Source organism: Homo sapiens, chromosome 20 (assembly GCF_000001405.40).
Source record: "Homo sapiens chromosome 20, GRCh38.p14 Primary Assembly".
Taxonomy (NCBI): Eukaryota; Metazoa; Chordata; class Mammalia; order Primates; family Hominidae; genus Homo; species Homo sapiens.
Genome location: NC_000020.11, coordinates 63,758,928 through 63,779,629, shown reverse-complemented (window position 1 = coordinate 63,779,629; position 20,702 = coordinate 63,758,928). Strand labels below are relative to the sequence as shown.

General features: G+C 52.0%; 1 protein-coding gene and 1 long non-coding RNA gene across 13 annotated transcripts in view, besides 3 other annotated features; both read left to right on the top strand.

Moving 5' to 3' along the window:
* ZBTB46 (zinc finger and BTB domain containing 46) overlaps positions 1–20,702 on the top strand; it is a 90,226-nt gene that overhangs the window by 54,266 nt on the left and 15,258 nt on the right. For 9 of the 12 annotated variants that reach the window (XR_936500.3, XM_011528548.3, XM_005260197.5 and 6 more), the window contains exon 3: positions 3,668–3,952. Coding sequence is in view for 10 of the 12 variants with exons in the window: in XM_011528548.3 (XP_011526850.1) it covers positions 3,668–3,952 (285 nt within the window). In the remaining 2 variants the exon portion in view is untranslated. Of the gene's footprint in view, positions 1–3,667; positions 3,953–5,085; positions 5,388–10,246; positions 11,000–11,511; positions 11,558–20,702 lie in introns of those variants that run through there. The other 3 variants (XR_001754167.2, XM_017027667.2, XM_011528549.3) reach the window with 3 other exon arrangements.
* Positions 1,173–1,710: an enhancer, noted in NCBI's record as "H3K27ac-H3K4me1 hESC enhancer chr20:62409273-62409810 (GRCh37/hg19 assembly coordinates)". NCBI's record gives its function as "activates a minimal SCP1, AML or CMV promoter by ChIP-STARR-seq in primed H9 embryonic stem cells {active_cell/tissue: H9 hESC(primed)}" and the evidence as "EXISTENCE:reporter gene assay evidence [ECO:0000049][PMID:30033119]".
* Positions 6,311–7,227: an enhancer, noted in NCBI's record as "H3K27ac-H3K4me1 hESC enhancer chr20:62403756-62404672 (GRCh37/hg19 assembly coordinates)". NCBI's record gives its function as "activates a minimal SCP1, AML or CMV promoter by ChIP-STARR-seq in naive H9 embryonic stem cells {active_cell/tissue: H9 hESC(naive)}" and the evidence as "EXISTENCE:reporter gene assay evidence [ECO:0000049][PMID:30033119]".
* Positions 7,581–9,158, top strand: LOC124904956 (uncharacterized). The gene is made up of 2 exons (XR_007067720.1): positions 7,581–7,820; positions 7,909–9,158. It is a non-coding gene; the product is annotated as an uncharacterized LOC124904956 (long non-coding RNA).
* Positions 8,820–8,994: a silencer, noted in NCBI's record as "fragment chr20:62401989-62402163 (GRCh37/hg19 assembly coordinates)". NCBI's record gives its function as "represses an EF-1alpha promoter that drives an FKBP-Casp9 reporter gene in an ReSE screen in K562 erythroleukemia cells {active_cell/tissue: K562}" and the evidence as "EXISTENCE:reporter gene assay evidence [ECO:0000049][PMID:32094911]".

The window sequence follows — 20,702 nt, the reverse complement described above, 5'->3', positions numbered from 1 at the left end:
GCTAACACGGTGAAACCCCGTCTCTACTAAAAATACAAAAAATTAGCCAGGTGTGGTGGCAGGCGCCCTGTAGTCCCAGCTACTCAGGAGGCTGAGGCAGGAGAATGGCGTGAACCTGGGAGGCGGAGCTTGCAGTGAGCCAAGATCATGCCACTGCACTCCAGCCTGGGTGACAGAGCAAGACTCCGTCTCAAAAAAAAAAAAAAAAAAAAAAAAAAAAAAATTAGCCGGCGTGGTGGCACGCACCTGTAATCCCAGCTACTCAGGAGGCTGAGGCAGGAGAATCACTTGAAGCCGGGAGGCGGAGGTTGCGGTGAGCTGAGATCATGCCATTGCACTCCAGCCTGGGCAACAAGAGCGAAACTCCGTCTCAAAATAAATAAATAAATTAATTAATTAATTAAATAAAATAAAATTGGGTGATTTTTTTTGAAGCCTGTTATGAGCTGAATGTGCACCCCCACACTCATGTGTTGAAACCCCAGCCCCCGTGTGGCTGCGTCTGGGGAGGGCCTTGAAGGAAGTGATAAAGTGAAGTCACAGGCGGGGCCCTGATCCCTGAACACGCTCGTGAGCACACAGCACCCACCACCCACTCTGCTCCCAGACTCTGAGGAGGGGCCCCCAGGGCTCACCTGCCGCCATCTGCAGGTCAGGAGGGGCCTCACCAGACAGCAGATCTGCTGGCACCTTGACCTTGGACTTCCCAGTCTCCAGAGCGTGAGGAAACTAATTTTCGTTGTTAAGCCGCCCTGCCTGTGGTATTTTGTCATGGCATCCCAAGCTAAGACAAAGCCTTAACATAAGTTTGGATATAACCTGTATATTTAGTTCCTAGAAATGCACAATTAATATGATGTGTCATCGAGGGATTTGTAAAAAAATATAAAAAGGAGTATAGTTTGGAAAAAGAGTAGAGTTTGGAAACATATCCCTTAGAGGCCTCCAGAAGAAGTCATAGGTAGCTCGACGGTCCGAATGTCACTGTCCCTGGAGACTCCCACCCGCTCCTGCCAGGCTGGACTCACCCCGTGTGCTGCCTGACGGGGGCCCTGCCCACCTGCCACACCCAGCTCTCAGCTGCTGGGCCTCACGTGTGCATGTTTGTTCCAGGGGTGTTTGCAGACGTCACCTCTGCCCCTGCTCCAAGTGCCCCCTGCCCCATGCCCCTGTGTTTCTGTGGTTCTGATCCCGATTCCTGTCAACGACCACGGTGGAAAATCCATTCTCTTGCTGTGGGAAAATATCTGCAAATCATCATCGCTCAGCGTGTTCTGGGGGTGTTTTGATATCGTGCATACAGCCCCACTAGAGGGAGGGTACTCCACAAAGCCCTGGCTGGCCTGAGCTGACACTCGGAGGAATCCGTTGAATTCATGACTCAAGTCGTCACCTTTTGTTGTTTTTGTTGTTGTTGTTAAATAGAAGCTTTACTGAGAGATGATTCACACCCCACTCACCCATTTAAAGTCTGCAGTTCAGAGGTTTTTGGTATGGTATATTCACAGCATCCTGTAGCCATCAGCACAGTCCCCTTAGAACATTTTCCTCGGCTCAGAGGGAAACCCTGCACCACTTAGCCCTCATCCGAGACCCCTCCCCAGCCCCTTTTTGCAGCCACAAACCTACTTTCTGTCTTGATTTGCCTGTTCTGGATATTTAATGGAAATGAAATGGCATGTGGCCTTCTGTGTCTGGCTTTGTTCACTCAGCAGTTTTCAAGGCTCCTCTGCGTGGTTCTGTGTCTGGCTTCGTCCGCTGAGCATGTTTTCACGGCTCCTCTGTGTGGTGGCCTGTGTCTGTTCTTCATGCCTTTTCATGGCCACATAATATTCCATTGTGGGGATGGACCTGTTATGTTTATCCATTCGTCCATCGATGGACTTGTTGGCTGTTCCACCTTTTGGCTGTTATGGATAACGTGCTACGCGCGTCCTGGACGAGGTTTTCTGTGAGCTTTTGTGTCTTCATTTCTCGTGGGTATCTGCATGCGTACATGTGGAACTGCTGGGCCCCGTGGTGATTCCTGTACCTGATGTTGTGAGGACCTGCCGACCTGCTCCGCAGGAGGGCACCATGTTACACTCTTACCAGCAAGGTTCCAGGGTTCTGATTTCTTCCCATCCTTGCCAATATTATCTGATCTTTTTTGTTGTTGTTTTTGAGATAGGGTCTCACTCTGTCACCCAGACTGGAGTACAGTGGCTCGATCACAGCTCACCACAGCCTCAACCTCTCAGGCTCAAGTGATCCTCCCGCCGCAGCCTCCTGAGTAGCTAGGACCACAGGCACAACCCACCACACTCAGCTAATTTTGTTTTATTTTAACTTTTTGTCCTGCTGTGTTGCCCAGGCTGGTCTTGAACTCCTGTTCTCAATAGATCTTCCGGTCTTAGCCTCCCAAAATGTTGGGACTGGAAGCGTGAGCCACGGTGCCTGGCCTTTTTATATCCAGCCATCCCAGTGGGTGTGTGCTGGAACCGTGGCGTGTGCTGGAACCGTGGCGTGTGGTGGAACCGTGGCGTGTGCTGGAACCGTGGCGTGTGGTGGAACCGTGGCGTGTGCTGGAACCGTGGCGTGTGGTGGAACCGTGGCGTGTGGTGGAACCGTGGCGTGTGCTGGAACCGTATTGTGTGGTGGAATCGTGTTGTGTTTTGCGTTTCCTTAGTGATGGGTGATGCTGAGCATCTCTTCCTGTGCGTCTTGGCCATTTATACATCTTCTTTGGACAAATGTCTAGTAAGATTTTTTGCCCATTTTTATATTGAGTTACAGTATTTGCCTTTTTATTATCAGATATATAGGTTGCAATTTTTTTTTTTTTTTGAGACAGAGCGTTGTTCTGTCGCCCAGGCTAGAGTGCAGTGGTGTGATCTCGGCTCATTGCAACCTCCACCTCCTGGGTTCAAGCGATTCTCCTGCCGCAGCCTACTGAGTAGCTGGGATTACAGGCACGTGCCACCACGCCCGGCTAATTTTTGTATTTTTAGTAGAGATGGGGTTTCACCATGTTGGCCAGGCTGGCCTTGAACTCCTGACCTCAGATGATCCGCCCGCCTCGGCCTCCCAGAGTGCTGGGATCACAGGCTTGAGCCACCGCACCCGGCGTCACTTTCTTGGTAGTATCCTTTGAAGCACAGACATTTAATTTTGATGAGTCCAATTTATTTTGTTGCTTGTGCTTGGTTTTGTATCTAAGAACCTATTGCCAAATCTGAGATCATGCGGATTTTCTTCTAAGAATTTTATAGATTTAGCTCTAACGTCATTGATCCATTTTGAGCCTCTCCTCGTCTTTGCGAGATGGAAATACTGCCGCCCCAGGAGCCTCTGACTCTCAGGCCCTCGGCCCTGGAGCAGAGCAGGTACCAGGTCTGCAGCGCCTCGTCCAGGGAGGGCAACCCCGTTGTTCTGAGTTGAGCCGTCCTCCAAAGCCTTGGCTGAGACTCCACCGCAGCCATGGGACCTGGGTGGGCAGGAAAGGCCGGGCTGGGCCGAGGCTGCTGCATTGCTGGGGCAGGTGCCCGGCTCCCAGGGTGGGCTGGACTTGATGCTGCTCTGTAGCTCAGGCAGAAGCTGGTCGCTGTCCTTCTAAATGTGTCGCCTGTCCCACTTGGAGAGTCTGGGAACGACCCGTGTCTTCTGACGTGTGTCCCTCTGTCCCCAGATGCGGACCTGTCCGTCACCGAAGCCAGCAGCTCCGACAGCCGAGGAGAGAGGGCCGAGCTCTATGCACAGGTGGAGGAGGGTCTCCTGGGAGGAGAAGCCAGCTATCTGGGCCCTCCCCTCACCCCAGAGAAGGACGACGCCCTGCATCAGGCCACCGCGGTGGCCAACCTGCGCGCGGCGCTCATGAGTAAGAACAGCCTGCTGTCGCTGAAGGCCGACGTGCTGGGGGATGACGGCTCCCTGCTGTTCGAGTACCTGCCCAGAGGGGCCCACTCGCTGTCCCGTAAGTGCAGGCCCTGGGGGCCGCTTGGCTTTGGTGTGGTTTTGAAGGCTGAGGGTTGCAGGTCCCGGGCCAAGATGAGATGAGGCTGAGGGTCTGTCCCTGCTGCTCGGCCGCCTGCTGACCTCCCTGTTGCGGGAGGTGAGGATGCGGCGTCACAGCCTGGACTGGCCTCTCAGGTGCACGGGGGGCTGGCTTTAGAGTGAGGAGGGAATGGACGCGGTTGTGAGCGCGGCGGGCAGGGGAGCAGCCGAGTGCTTGCTGGAATGTTTCTCACAGGAGTCGTTGGCTGAATGCGAGCTCGTCCGGGTCGCGCAGGGGCCGGGGGTCTTTGTGCTCCAGAGACGGGCTCGGGCGCCCCCTGCCGGCCCCTCTGTCGCCTTCGTGCTGAGGCTCGTTTCGCGCAAGGGAGATGGGGGCGGCCGCTGCGAGCCGATTGCACTTGGGGGCCTCGCCTTGCGTTGCCTTCGCTGGATGATGCTGGTGGCGTGTGACTTTTAAAGATGCGTCGGAGGTTGTCTTTAAAACGTAAATGTCCCCAGCTGAATCCAAACGACGACGCGCCTGCCGAGATGTGGCCAAAAGTTCAGCCACTGCTGCGTGTCGGGCTCACCCCAGACTGACTGACTTCCTGACAAGACGGGGGCATTCAGCTTTCGGAGTTTAAAAAAACAAAGGGGCCGGGCGCGGTGGCTCACGCCTGCAATCCCAGCACTTTGGGAGGCTGAGGCGGGCAGACCACGAGGTCAGGAGATCGAGACCATCTTGGCCAACACGGTGAAACCCCGTCTCTACTAAAAATACAAAAAATTAGCCGGGCGTGGTGGCGGGCGCCTGTAGTCCCAGCTACTCGGGAGACTGAGGCAGGAGAATGGCGTGAACCCGGCAGGCAGAGCTTGCAGTGAGCCGAGATCGCGCCACTGCACTCCAGCCGGGGCGACAGAGGGAGACTCTGTCTCAAAAAAAAAAACAAAAAAAAAAACAAAAAAAACCCACCGCAGCCAGCCCCCAGCCAGCTGCCTTCTGGTCTCGCGCTCATGTGGGCCCCCGGGCAAGGCCTGGTGCTGGCACCTAGCACATAGCTGGCACTCAGCATGCGGCTGAGAGTGAGTGAGGCGCCTCCCGTTTCTCTCCAGGGGAGGAGGGAGCGAGTCCGGCATGAGATGCCCCCACCTCCGCGGCTGGGGTCCAGGCGTGCTGAGTGGTGTGGACACATTGTTTGCTGAGTATTGAGGGAAGTGAAGGAAGGAAACGTGCCAGCTGTCCTTGATGCTGGGATTTGGGAAGTATATCTGTTTCTCTGTTTCTTTACGCTGCTCTAAAAAACAATATTTTTACAACTTTGTTTTCATAAGCACTAAAATATTCTTTCGAATTTTCGCGTTGGTGTGAGCACTGATGCCAACTGTTTGTGGGTAATAAAGACTACATGTGGAAAGTGGTGTTCACCTTCCCTTTATTCCGTGTACTCAGTGAGGAGCCGTGTCCGTCGAAGGGTCTTGGCCCTGAAAGTGAGGCTCAGGGCTGAGCACTGCACAGACGGGACAAGCTGTGGGTGCTGGGCTGTCACAGACATCCTGAGGCCTCACTTCCCACATCTGAAAAACTGGGGGGGGGGGGGGGGGCGGGGGGTGCCACTTACACAGCTGTTGTGAATTCAAACAAAATAGCGTTTCTAAAATATCAAACACGGTGCAGGCAGAGTGTTTGTGATTTATGCTCCAAGATGTTGGCCCCGTCCCCTCTCAAATGCAAAAGTGTACTTGTCAGCAGAAATGGTTGGATTTGAGCAAACCCCGGGGTACTGGGGCCTTTCCAGGAGGCGGTGGCAGGGCATGTGGGCATCCTGCAGTCGGCCAGCCGGTCAGATGGAGCGCTGGGCACGTTTCGTGGGCGTCAGGAGGGACAGGCTGGGTGCGGCCAGCGGCGCATGCCCGTGGGTGCGGTCGGAGGGGGATCCCGGGCCTCCCTCACTACCCTCCCCTCCGACCGCCTTTTCACATGAGCAGCTTGGGTGCGGCCGGTGGCACATGCCCGTGGGTGCCGTCGGAGGGGGATCCCAGGCCTCCCTCACTACCCTCCCCTCCGAGCGCCTTTTCACATGAGGGGCTTGGGTGCTGTTTCCTGTGGATCTCTCAGACCGTCGTATACACTCATTCAGGGCAGGGACCCCAACACACCCAGTTCCTTTGCAGCACCCCAGGTACAGCTGGTGTGTCTTGGTCATTAAGAACGACTTTGGGAGCCTGGGCAACGTGGGGAAACCCCATCCCTACAAGAAGTTAGCCCAGCATGATGGTGCCTTGTGCCCGTAGTCCCAGCTACTCAGGCGGCTGAGGTGGGAGGATCGCTTGAGCCCAGGAGGTTGAGGCTGCAGTGAGCCATGATTGCATCATTGCCCTCCAGCCTGGGTGACAGAGTGAGACACTGTCTCAAAAAAAAAAAAAAAAGCCATTGGACTGAGGGGAAACAATTTGTTTGTGCTTTTTCTACTGTTTCTGCGTCTGACAGCCCTCCCTGGGTGTGGCTCCGTCCATGAAGCCTTTGCTGGTTTGTGTGTGCAGCAGATGGGGTCGGAGGGCACGGCTTGGCAGAAGATGTCGATTTCACCCGTGGCATACGAGCTGTGGGCCCTGTGGTGCCAGGTCTGACCTTGGGGAACACATACCCCAGCTCGGCCTTGGTGGCCCTGGCAGTTTCTCCCCTTCCTCGGGGCTTTTCTGTTCTGGGCCCCTCCTTTCCGGAAGCGAGCCCCGGAGCACGTGGAGGGAGTGGCCGCGGAGCCTGAGGCTGGGACCTTGAGTGGTTCTGGCTTTTTCCCAGGGCCTCTCCCTGCAGTGAGAGTGCTGTGTCCTCTGCATCCTGAGTGTGTCCTAAATCCTGAAGGTGGGGTGAGGGCACACCCCGCACTTCTGTGTGTGTGTGTGTGTGTGTGTGTGTGTGTGTGTGTGTGTGTGTTTTTGAGACAGGGTCTCGCTCTCTTGCCCAGGCTGGAGTGCATTGGCACTATCTCAGCTCGCTGCAGCCTCTGCCTCCCGGGCTCCAGCAATTCTCCTGCCTCAGCCTCCCAAGTAGCTGGGACTACAGATGGGTGCCCCCACACCCCACTAATTTTTATATTTTTAGTAGAGACAGGGTTTCACCATGTTGGCCAGGCTGGTCTCGAACTCCTGAGCTCAGGCGATCTGCCTGCCTCAGCCTCCCAAAGTGCCGGGTTTATAGGCGTGAGCCATCCCGCCTGGCCCCATCTCACTCAGTTTTTAGTTCATCTGTGACTAATTCCAGGTGAAGTTGGCTGGTGGGTCTTTTGTTATTTCTCTTAAGTTCTAACCTCATTTTTAATATTCTAAATTTTCTATTTCTCTTGTAAGAATTTGCCCTTTTGGGCCAGGCATGATGGTTCACACCTGTAATCTCAGCACTTTGGGAGGCCAAGGCAGGTGGATCACCTGAGGTCAGTAGTTCAAGACCAGCCTGGCCAACATGGCGAAACCCTGTCTCTACTAAAAATACAAAAAATTACCCGGGTGTGGTGGCGGGCACCTGTAATCTCAGCTACTTGGGAGACTGAGGCAGGAGAATCGCTTGAACCTGGAAGGAGGAGGTTGCCGTGAGCCGAGATCATGCCATTCCAACCTGGGCAACAAGACCGAAACTCGTCAGAAAAAAAAAAAAAAAAGAATTTGCCCTTTTGTTTTCTGTAAACACGGTTTAGAAGTTGTCAGCATCCTTCGCCTGTCGGGCTGTGAACTGGATGCCCCAGACGCCTGCCCAGCAGAGTGGCTGTAGAACTCGGCGGGGGACAGGTTATTTTAAAACGTAATTTTCTGGCATCCTGTGTGGCCCCTGCCTGTTTCCGGCATGCACTGAGGTAAATAATGGAAATACTCAGAAAAAACTTGGATTTTCCAAAGTTCTGTGGTCCTCCCTCACTGCCGTAGGCCTTCTGTCCCCGACAGGTGGTCCCGTGGAATCCGCGCGGGAGTAAACCGTGGACACCAGCGCCTGCGTCCAGGGAAGCCTTAGCCGAGGCGCCTCGGTGTGATCTGAAGGTGGGGTCCGGGGGCCTGGCCTCTCGGGGGGCTGCCGCGGTGGAGGAGCGCCTCAGAGTTCACGGCGTAGCCCCACTCGCCGGTACCCAGGTGGACGCTGATCGGGGGAGAGAACTGAGCCCCGGGGTCTGACGCCGTCTGCTGATCTGAAGCGTTGAACTCACGGACTTCTAAGTCTCTCAACACCGTGCGGGAGCGCCAGGCCCGGCGGGACCGCGTGGCCCCCCTCTCTCCCTCCCCTCCTTCTGGAGGGTCATGGACGCAGAGCCGTGTCCTCCCATTGCTGAATGTGGGGGTGACTGTGGGGGCCGGAGAGTGGGGGCAGCTCATTGCAGCTTGTGGCGTAGCCCCCCCGCCATCTTGCAGCTCTGGAAATGCGCCCCTGAGCCCCGGGGGCCGCCGGCTCCTCTCTCCTCCGCTCCCTGTCGGAAGAGAGAAGAAGACAAGAGCGGCCTCGGCTGGGCGAGGGTCCCCGGTACCCAGCCCTCAGAGCAGGAGGAACGCAGCTTCAACTCAGGCCAGCTCTGAAGAGGGCCTGGGAGGGCGAGTAGCCCCTGCTGTGGTTCGAGCGGCGTGGCTGCTGTGCCGGGCGTGGCCGGTGCTGACTTGCGACCTCCTGCTGACGTGGCCCCTGCTGTGGTTCGAGCGGCGTGGCTGCTGTGCCGGGCGTGGCCGGTGCTGACTTGCGACCATCTCCATGTGCTGGTTGCAGGCGATGAGCATTTCCAGGGCTGGGCCTCTTGTTAGCGTGGTCTCTAGGGTGTCCTGTCGAGTGTACCTCCCCGTGGGCTGGCGCATCGTGCAGGAAATGGGGACACGGCGGTCCTCACTGTGTGTCCACTGCCCCTTTGCGGTACGGGGTGCCGGGTGGGGATCCCACCGCCTGCCCAGTTCTCCTCGTCATGAATGCGCCGTGGTTCAACAAACAGCGTCCGGCCGTGGCAATTCTGCACAAAAATGGGATGGTGGTCGCAGATTTCTGAATTTAGAGAACCATTAAATATGCAGGCAGCAGGCCAGCAGCACAGAGCAGCCGACACTCAGAGGGCCTTTGGGGATGGGTTCTGGAACATTCTAGAAAAACTGAACTAGTTTCCTTGGATTTGTAGGACCAGTAACCTTGGCTTGGCTGTTAAATTAAACAGATGGCAGTTTCATTACTAGACCATCAATCTCTGACATCCCTGTCAGAGGACTTGCCATACTTCTCATTCAATTCTGTTGAACTTCGTGCTTACTTTTATTCCTTTTTCAGCAGTAGGCGGGCCTCCTCTCTGTTACTAGACATTGTTCTCCCAGTAGAAACCATGAAAACTGTCATTTAGGCTCAGAACATGGCTGCCCACAAGTTGTGCTGGGCTGGCGCTGATCTCCTGGGGCCTTGAGGTGTGTGCTGCCTTCGTGTCTCCAAACAGCACGAGGAAGCCAACTTCACACTGACAAGCCGAGGATGCGCCGCCGGCCGGTCGGCCGGGGACAGGAGACTGTAAGCCCCGCATCAGCCGTGCCCGGAAATGTGGGACGCGGCCTCTGGAGCGTTGCTGGTGTAACCCCCCTCACTCTTTTAAAGAGTCAAGGATTCTAGGGACAGCCATGGCGGTGCGGTGCCGCCTCCCGTGAAGCTCACCCCAGCTCCCTGCAGTCCTTTCCTGCGGGGACGGCTTCTGACCAGCTCGTTACTGGAGAAGGTGGCCGTGGAGATGGCGGAGCGGCTGGGCCCGGGCGTCAGGAGGCGTTTTGCAGAGAACAGTTGCAGCTTGTCTTTGTTTTGGTTGTGGTTTAAAGACTGTTTCCCTGTGGTATTTAAAGGATGAATCGAGAACTTTAACTTGATTCTGGATCGAGACTGGAATTGTGAACAGTTGCCGACTAAAGGGCATTTGGTGGACATGGTGCTGCACTTTCAGGTGGTCCAGGCCAGCGTGCCTTGGCGTTCTCATCAGGAGAGCATTTCTGCAGTCCAGAGGTGTTCACGCTCCGACTTCCTCCACCAAAACCCTCTGTTGGAATCACTTGGCTCCTAGGAAAGAGACACACCGCAGAGAAGTCATGGGTGGAGACCTCGGGCATTTGGGGTTGGCCAGCTGATCAAAGCGTTCAAACACCTGCCTCCAGCGAGACCCTTGGGGCATCACCGGGCTCACACCGCATGCCGGGAAGATCGTCAGTGCTTCTGGAACTCTCTAGAACCCAGCAGCTGGTGCGCGTTCCTGTGGGTGAGACTCCTCCTTTCCTGTGTTCCCAGGGCCTGGGTCCCTTGTGAGGGTCGCTGATGGCAGAACAGAAGCCCCTCCACCCTCCACCCTCAGAGCCACAGGATGAGCTCTGGGGAACCGCCAGACCCAGCCCAGGGAGCCGGCACAGCCTCCCCCAGCTCAGGTAAGACACCAGGGTGGCCAGCTTTGTCTGGGGCAACTGGGCCAAACACTTGGGGCATGGTGTCCCTGACACCCATGTGTGCGTGGCCACGGCCCAGATGAGCCCGGGCACCTCCGAGGAGGCACTTTGGTGGCACCTGCTCTCCATGTGCCCTCCTCTCCCACCCTCAACTCAGCCAGGTACAGAGAAAACCCATTTTAGGTCAGCCGAGTTATTCGCTTTTGCAATAGTAATTGTTCCACTCCCACAGCAACAGGTTGTATGAAGTTGAATTGGTTTTTATATTTTGAGCAATTTTTTTCCCTTAATGTAAAGACATTCAATTCATGTTGCAGTGGGTTGGAAACATCAGTTCCTAGAGCTCAGTGGTGGTGGCCGGTCCCTTCCAGGCCTGGTCACTGCACATTTCTGGCCAACCCCCGACTCGGAGGCCACTGCCCCAGTCCGAGCCTCACAGAGCCCTGGTGGAAGCCGTTCCACTGCCCCAGCCCGAGCCGCGCAGAGCCCTGGTGGAAGGCATTCTCCTTCCTGTGCCTGAAGTCGCGGAGTCTTTTCTATAAAGAAAGGGCCATGGGGTGTGTACCTCCCTGGAGAAAAAAAAATTCTTTAACAAGAGCTCAACCACTTTTTTTTTTTTTCTTTTGAGACAGAGTCTGGCTTTGTCACCCAGGCTGGAGTGCAGTGGTGCGATCTTAGCTCACTGCAACCTCCACCTTCGGGGTTCAAGAGATTCTCCTGCCTCAGCCTCCCAAGTAGCTGGGATTACAGGTTAGGGTATCCCGTTGGGCACACCACCACGCCTGGCTAATTTTTGTGTTTTTAGTAGAGATGAGGTTTCACCATGTTGGCCAGGCTGGTCTTGAACTCCTGACCTCAGGTGATCCGCCTGCCTCGGCCTCCCAAAGTGCTGGGATCACAGGCATGAGCCTCCTTGGTCTCCCAAAGTGCTAGGATGAGCCTCGGTGCCCAGCCTTAACCACACATTTTGGATTTTGAAATTAATTGCTATTCCCACACGAGTCGTTTCTCATTTCTCACAGGATAGTTTTGGTGGCAGGTGTTAATGTTTTGTTAATGCATATATTTTTGAGTGTCTCTTTATTGAGAATTAATTACAGTCTTCCTTTCCAGATGGCTGTTGACAGGCTGTCTTAGTAGTGATTGGACAACATCCCAGGTGAGTGAGGGCAGCAGAGTGTCCACACTAGAAGTCTTGCTGCTTTTATCCCATCCTGACGGTCTGTAACTTGTCTGTCTCTGGTTCCAGATCGACACCTCTCATGGCGTGGAGAGCTGGGCGGAGCAGTCCTCTTCCAGAGTTGGCTCCCGCTGGCATGAGGGTGGGTTTCTGCAGGGCCTGTGGCCTGTCCAGGATGCCTGAGGAGTCTTCTTCCAGCCCAGGCCTGGATGGACTTGCCCAGCCCTGGATGGACTTGCCCAGCCCTGGGGGCAGCCAGTGCCAGGACGGCTTGGCCTCGCCTGGAGCTCCTTGGGCGCTGACAGCTTTACCCTGAGGCCAGCTAAGGAGCTCTGTGAAGCAAGTGACAGCAGCGAAGGCACCTCCCCTGCTGGAAGTGGTTTGGGACAGAACTGCGGGTGCCTCTGGTCTGTGCGCTGGAGCCGGCGTTTGCTTTGACCTCAGTGCTGCGGCCAGAGCTTTGGCGTCCGGGTCCCGGGCTCCAGCTGGGTGCAGCTGCCCAGGCGAGAGAGCTCTCAAGTGTGTGGGAGCAGGAGGGGAACTGGGTGACCGAACAGCCGCGTCGGAGGGGGATATCTGCGGAGAGCTGTGACTGGGAGCCGGTGTGTGCCTTTCTGTGGTCATTTCTCGAGTCCTCTGCCGGCTGCTGCCAGGTGAAGGCATCTCCATGCCCAGCCGGTGGGCAGCTGGGGCGGGTGGACCTCCAGCTTCTGCCCGACGGGGTTCAGATGACCGAGATCCTACGGGATTGCCAATGTGTGGGGACGGGGGGCTTTCAGGGGCGGGAAAACATGTCCCCATCCGTGGGAAGTGGAGCCACGTGGCTCCGACCCAGCAACTTTCTAGGGAGATCGAAAGACAAAGCCTGCCACGGCGTCCTTGGCGGTGTGTGCCTGGCATGTGCGCGGCGCTCCACGTGTCGGCGTGGAATTACGGGAATGTGCTGCTTTTCAGAAAGAGCGCCCCGCGGTGCCCTTGCCCGTCCTCGTCGGACGTGTTAGGTTCAATGTCAGCTTTCTATTCAGAGCAGGTGGTTGTGGACTTGGTGGGCTCCAGGGACCCAGAGCAGCAGGTGGGCTCAGGAGGGGGATAGGCATCCCCCATTCCAGATTCTGGAATACCCAGAAGCACCATCTGGCAGGGAAGGTGGCGTGTCGGGGGAGCCCGCTCCCAGGCCAGAGACGCGTCCCACCATCTGCCCAACAGCCCATCCCCTTTCCGGACGGTCCCCATCTCCACTGCAGCTGGAACCATCTGCTGGAGCCTCCCCTGGTTCCTCAAATCTTTATGTTCCTTTATGTTCCTGAGATGAGTTTCTGAAGATGGAGAAAAGTGGGATTTCTAGTGAGGTTTGGGGCATTTTACCAAAGGTGACCGCGCTCTGCTGGCATCTGTGAGGGTCGGGAGAGCAGTCCACACAGGCCGTGCCTTCTGAGCTGCCAGACGCCTCTTTATGCAAATGCCTGTTGGAGTTTTAATATCAGTTGTAGAGAAAATGAAGCTTTTTTTTTTTTTTTGGTCAAAATGGGATCTCTTGGCCAGGTGCAGTGGCTCATGCCTGTGATCCCAGCACTTTGGGAGGCCAAGGTGGGCGGATCACCTGAGGTCGGGAGTTTTAGACCAGCCTGGCCAACATGGCGAAATCGTATCTCTACTAAAAATAGAAAAATTAGCTGGGCGTGGTGGCGGGCGCCTGTAATCCCAGCTATTTGAGAGGCTGAGGCAGGAGAATCACTTGAACCCGGGAGGCGGAAGTTGCAGTGAGCAGAGATCATGCCATTGCACTCCAGCCTGGGCAACGAGAGCGAAACTCCCTCTCAAAAAAAAAAAAAAAAAAAAAAAAAAAGGATCTCTCAGCTGTTGGGCCTGAGATGATATGTCTCAACCTGGGCACCATGACAGAAGAAACTTGTGGCATCTGACTGTGAGATTAGTCCACGCCTGGGCTCTGCGTTCATGGGCAGGGCACACCCTAGTGCTGTTGAAGCAGGTACATCAGAGGCCGCATGACAGCTTTGCCTTTTGCTCTCCAGGGTGGGCAGCAGGTGGGCCCAGCGGGGAGAGAGTTGTCTTGGGGGTTGATAAGGAGGCCTGGTTGTAGAGATTCTCTCCGTACCATTTTGCTGAAAGAGTTTGGTTAACTTTTTGAAAACAATTTAAAAATTGTAGACATGTGCCATAGAACCTAAAAAAATATGCTCGTGGCAGATAGTAAAATGATAAGGGCTCTAAGAACATTTTTAGAATAGATAGCAGTATGACTTTATCCCTACTTCTAACATTCTTTCCCCTGAAACTACACAGACATTCATTCAGCATATGAAGTGGGTGCAATGGCTCATGCCTGTAATCCCAGTACTTTGGGAGGTTGTGGCGGGAGGATTGCTTAAGCCTGAGAGTTCAAGACCAGCCTGGGCAACATAGGGAGACCTTGTCTCTACAGAAAAAGTTTAAAATTAGCTGAGCGTGGTGCTGTGCACGTGTGGTCCCAGGTACTCGGCAGGCCGAGGAGGGAGGATCGCTTGGGCACAGCAGGTCGAGGCTGCAGTGAGCCATGATTACACCACTGCACTCCAGCTGGGCCACAGAGTGAGACCCTGTATCAAAAAAGAAAAGAAACGCCCACACATAACCTACCCGGGAAGGGGGCCAGTGCAGGTGGGACAACGCTGTGATCCTTGAGAGAAGAGAGAACACAGATGAGCTGCCCTTCACCCCAGTGGTGTTGCTGGCATATTTCCCAAACCCTGGAGCAGGAAGTGGACCCTGAGCGGACGGCAGTGTACAGATAGAGATTGTCCTTCGGGGCAGCCAGAGGAGCCGGGACTTGAGGGGCAAAATCCCAAGAAGCAAGAAACAAAGAGGAGGACCCCAGCTTCTGCATACAACTGCCCCCCACCCCAAGCCTCTAAGCCCCACACACACACACACGCACACACACACACAACCACACATACACATGCACACATGCACACGCACACATGCACATACAAACATACACACACACGCACGCACACACACACAAGAATCACTTGAACCTGGGAGGTGGAGGTTGCAGTGAGCCGAGACCGCGCCATTGCACTCCAGCCTGGGTGAGAGAGCAAGACTCCGTCTCAAAAGAAAAACAAAAAAAAATCTTAAAAGCAGCCAGAGGGCCAGGTGCAGTGGCTCACACCTGTAATCCCAGCACTATGGGAGGCCGAGGTGGGCAGATCACCTGAGGTCAGGAGTTCGAGACCAGCCTCAACATGGAGAAACCCCATCTCTACTAAAAATACAAAATTAGCCGGGTGTGGTGGCACACACCTGTAATCCCAGCTACTCGGGAGGCTGAGGCAGGAGAACTGTTTGAACCTGGGAGGTGGAGGATGCGGTGAGCTGAGATCGAGCCATTGCACTCCAGCATGGGCAACAAGAGCGAAACTCCGTCTCAAAAAAAAAAAAAACAGAGAAAAAATGCTTAACATTCAGAAGAACAACAGTGATGGCTGACTTTCCCAGAAACTACAGAAGCTAGAAGACAATGAATGACGTCTTTGAAGTACTGGAAAGCAAAAGATGCCAACCTGGAACTCTATACCCAACAAAAATATTCATCACAATTTTTTTTTTTTTTGAGACAGGGCCTCGCTCAGTCACCTAGGCTGGAGTGCAATGGTGCGATCTCTGCTCACTGCAACCTCTGCCTCCCGAGTTCAAGTGATTCTCCTGCCTCAGCCTCCCCAGTAGCTGGGATTACAGGCGTGAGCCACCATGCCCAGCTGATTTTTTGTATTTTTAGTAGAGACGGTTTCACCATGTTGGCCAGGCTGGTCTGGAACCCCTGGCCTCAAGTGATCCACCCATCTTGGCCTCACAAAGTGCTGGGATCACAGGCATGAGCCACCGTGCTTGGCCTATAAATTTTTTTTTTTAATTAGCTGGGTGTAATGGCTCATGCCTGTAGTTCCAGCCACTTGGGAGGCTGAGGTGGGAGGATCGCTTGAGCCCAGGAGGTCGAGGCTGGTGTGAGTTGTGGCTGCACTGCTGCACTCCAGCCTGGATGACAGAGCAAGGCCGTCTCTTATTTAAAAAAAAAAGAAAAAGAAAAAAGAAAGCACCAGATAAGGCAACTGTGTGAGTAATAGAAAATAATCTTGATTGTTTAAAGCAACAATTATAATTTGGGGGATTTTTAAACCTAAATAGAAGCAAAACATATGACACTATTAGCATGTGGGGTGGATGAGAGTTAACTGTCGTGTGGTTCTGACTCTTTATAGTCACAGGAATGATGACTGAAAATAGGAAAAGTGGTGTGATTCAAAGGCTCAATGAGGAGAAGAAATGGAATAATTCTTGATACAGTTTGGATCTCTGTCCCCACCCAAATCTCATGTTGAACTGTGATCCGCAATACTGGACGTGGTGCCTGGTGGGACCTTCCATGGATGATTTAGCTCCCTCCCCTTAGTGCTGTCCTCATGATAGTGAGGTCTCACAAGATCCGGTCGATTAAAAGCGTGTGGCACCTCCCCCATGACCCTCCGTCTTGCTCCTGCTCCTGTCCTGTGAAACGCTCGCTCCCTCTTCGACTTCTGCCATGATTGGAAGCTCCCTAAGGTCTCCCCAGAAGCTGATGCCACCATGCTTCCTGTAGAGCCTGCAGAACCGTGAGCCAATCAAACCTCTTTTCTCATAAATTATCCAGTTGCAGGTATTTCTTTATAGCAGTGCAAGAATGGCCCGATACAATACGTGATTAATTTGAAAGAAGGCAAGAAAGGAGGAATAAGAACAAAAAGCATAAAGGACAAATAAAAAACAAGATGATAGCCTTACACCAGCCACATCAATAATTACATTATTAAAAATGAACAAAACACATAGCCTGTTTTTAAAAACTATTTATTGGCTGGGTACAGTGGCTCACACCTGTAATCCCAGCAATTTGGGAGGCTAAGGTGGGAGGATCACTTGGGGCCAAGAGTTTGAGACCTGCCTGGGCAACTTAGCAAGACCCCATCTCTAAAAGAATTAAATAATTAGCTGGGTTTGGTGGTGCTCACCAGTGATTCAAGCTACTTGGGAGGCTGAGGCAGGAGATGACTTGAGCCCAAAAGTTTGAGGTTACCATGTGCTATGATTGTGCCACTGTACTCCAGCGTGGGTAACGGAGCAACACCCTATCTCTACAAAAGAAAAAAAGAAAAGAAAAAGATGAATCAAGCAAACACTAACCAAAAAGAAAGTCAGTATAGCAATCTTAATATCAAAGTAAACTTTGAGAAGTATTACTCAAGAGGGACTGGCATAATGATAATTAGTCAATTCAGTAGTAAATATAACAATCCTAATGCATATTGCTCCTAACAGCTCAGTTGGTTTTTTTTTTGTTTGTTTGTTTGTTTGTTTGTTTTTTGAGAGAAGTCTCACTGTTGCCCAGGCTGGAGTGCAGTGGCGCGATCTCGGCTCACTGCAACCTCTGTCTCCCAGGTTCAAGCAATTATCCTGCCTCAGCCTCCCAAGTAGCTGGCAGTACAGGCGCGTGCCACCACCCTGGCTCATTTTTTGTGTATTTTTAGTAGAGACAGGATTTCACCATGTTGGCCAAGATGGTCTCGATCTCCTGACCTCGTGATCCACCCACCTCGGCCTCCCAAAGTGCTGGGATTACAGGTGTGAGCTACTGTGCCCGGCAACAGCTCAGTTTTAAAATACATGAGGTAAAAGCTGGCAGAACTAAAAAAAGAGATAACTTCACAATTACAATTGGGGGTTTTAAAACACTTATCTCAGTAATTGATAGAACAGCAAACAAAATCTCAGTAAGGATAGAGAATATTTGAACACAGTTTTCAAATGTTAAATTCACCTTGAATTCCTGGAAATAAACACATCTGGTCACAAGCTGCTATTCTTTTTCTGTATTATTGGATTCAGTTAGCTAATGTTTGGTTTGAGTCTTGCATCTGTGTTCATAGAGATACTGGCTGTAACAGCACAATTAGCCCAGTTTGAACGTTACACCAAAAGTGCAGGATATTCCAAATGGACAGGAAACATTTACCAAAATAGACCAACCAGGGCCATAATTCAGGTTCAACAAATATCAAAGGATTGAAATCAGAGAGTATATTCTCTGACCTTAGCAAACTGGAATTAGAAATCAGTAACAAGAAGACACTAGAATATCCCCAAATGCTTGCAAATCAAATAGTATACGTTTACACAACCCTCAAGTCAAAGAATAAATCCCTATGGAAATGATAAACTTTTTTTTTTTTTTTTGAGGCAGAGTCTCGCTCTGTCACCCAGGCTGGAGTGCAGTGGTGCGATGTCTGCTCACTGCAACCTCTGCCTCCGGGGTTCAAGTGATTCTCCTGCTGCAGCCTCCCGAGTAGCTGGGATTACAGGCACCGGCCACCACGCCTGGATAATTTTTGTATTTTTAGTAGAGACAGAGTTCCACTATATTGGCCAGGCTGGTCTCGAACTCCTGACCTTGTGATCCACCTGCCTCGGACTCCCAAACTGCTGGGATTACAGGTGTGAGCCACCGTGCCTGGCCAAAATATTTTTAACTGAATGATAATGAAAAAATGCTGTATCAAAACTTTTAGGCCCACATCTAAAGCAATATTTAAGGGAAACTTACAGCTCTAGTTATATATTAGGACAGAAGAAAGGTTCTAAATTTCTTTGTCAAGAAGAAAAAGCATAGCAAATTAAGCCCAAAGAAAGTAACAGAAGGGAAATAAAGAATAGATATCAGGGTGAGTGTGGTGGCTCATGCCTGTAATCCCAGCACTTTGGGAGGCTGAAGTGCGTCAATCACTTGAGGTCAGGAGTTCGAGACCAGTCTGGTCAACATGGTGAAACCCTGTCTCTACTAAAAATACAAAAATTAGCCGGGTATGGTGGTGGGTGCCTGTAATCCCAGCTACTCGGGAGGCTGAGGCAGGAGAATTGCTTGAACCTGGGAGGCGGAGGTTGCAGCGAGCCGAGATCATGGCACCACACACCAGCTTGGATGTCAGAACGAGACTCCATCTGAAAAAAAAAAAAAAAAAGAGCTATCAATGAAGTAGAAAGCAGGCATACAAAAATCAACAGTGTAGCTGGCATGGTGGTGCACACCTGTAATCCCAGCACTTCGGGAGGTTAAGTCAGAAGGCTCGCTTGAGGCCAAGGAGTTTAAGGTTACAGTGAGCTATGATTGCACTGCTGCATTCCAGCCTGGGCAAACCCCAAAACCGAAAGTGAACAATGCCCAAAGCCAGTGTGTTGAAAAGATAATAAAACTGATATAACTCGGCCTGGCGCGGTGGCTCACGCCTGTAATCCCAGCACTTTGAGAGGCCGAGGCAGGCGGATCACGAGGTCAGGAGATCCGAGACCATCCTGGCTAACACGGTGAAACCCTGTCTCTACTAAAAATAGAAAAAATTAGCCAGGTGTGGTGACAGGCGCCTGTAATCCTAGCTACTCGGGAGGCTGAGGCAGGAGAACCCAGGAGGCGGAGCTTGCAGTGAATCGAGATTGTGCCACTGCACTCCAGCCTGGGCAACAGAGTGAGACTCTGTCTCAAAAAAAAAAAACAAAAACACTGATATAACTCCTGTGAAAAGTGATCAACGGATATTGGATAGATAAGATTATTATACACAACTTTATGCGAATATATTTGACACATTGGAGGAAATGGGAAAATTCCTGGAAAACAGAATTTATCAAAACTGGAGCAAACAGGAAGAGCTCAATGGTTTTATGATCTGCTGAGAAAATTGAATTAATAACTTTAAAGCCTTCCCACAGAGAAAGCTTCAGGGCGAGTGCCTTTACTAGTGAATTCTTTCCAATTTTAACGGAAGAAAATGACGCCAACGTTAGACATATCTTCCAAATACTAGAAGAAAGGAACAGTCTCCAGCCTATCTAAGCTGGCATGGTCTTGATCCCAGAGCCTGACGTGGCATTTCAAGAAAGGAAATTATCACTCAGCAGAGATGTGCAACTATTAAAGTAAATACCAGCAAATTGAATCCAGTGAGACAGAGGAAGAACCGTGTTGCATGGTCCGCAGGCTCATTCCAAGAACTCAAGGTTAAGTGAGTGTTTGGAATCAATGTGTAGAATTTACCACATTAGCCGAATAAAGGAGAGAACCCGCTATATCACCTCAATAAATGCAGGAAACACTTTTGATAAAATTCAGTAGCCTTCGTGATAAGAATCGGCAAATTGGAGTATAAAGAAATGTTCTAAATCTGACAAAAAGTATCTACAAAAAAAAAAGTTAACCTTTTGGTTAATTGTGAAATCATGATGACTTAGCCTCTGAGCACGGGAACGATACACAGACGCCCATCGTCACCACTTATATTCAGAGTTGGCTGGAGATCCTGCCCGGGTTGTGTGTGCAGGGCTGCCCCTGAGAGCTCTTGCCTTCCTAATGTTTGTGTCATGTCAGGAACCTCCCTTGCCCCCCTCCTCCCTGAGTCCTACCCCTTGTCCCAAGCTGTGCAATACAGTGATAAATGAAAGGGGCCAGGCACTGTGGCTCATGCCTGTGATCTCAGCACTTTGGGAGGCTGAGGTGGGTGGGTCACTTGAGCTCAGGAGCTCAAGACCAGCCTGGGCAACATGGCAAGACCCTGTCTTTACTAAAGAAAAAAAAGAAAAAGAAATGAATGGAAGGGAATAAGTAAAAGCATCATTTGTAGGTGACATGACTATGCATATAGAACATTCAAAAGAATCTAGAAACTTAGATTTTTAACAGGATAATTAAATATACTGGATATACAGCCAATGTACGAAACTCAATATACAAAAGTCAATTGTATTTCTATAAATAACAGAGTTTCATTTTATAGGACATCAAATGCCTAGGAATAAATTAAACAAAAAATATGCAAAGACCTCTACACAGAAAACTATAAAATATTGCTGGGAGAAATTAAAGAAGATAATGATAAATGAAGGGAGATACTATGTTCATGGAGGAGAAGACTCACTATTGTTAAGATGTGAATCTCCGCTGGGCACCATGGCTCACGCCTGTCATCCCAGCACTTTGGGAGGCCGAGGCGGCCGGATCACGAGGTCAGGAGATTTGAGACCATCCTGGCTAACACAGTGA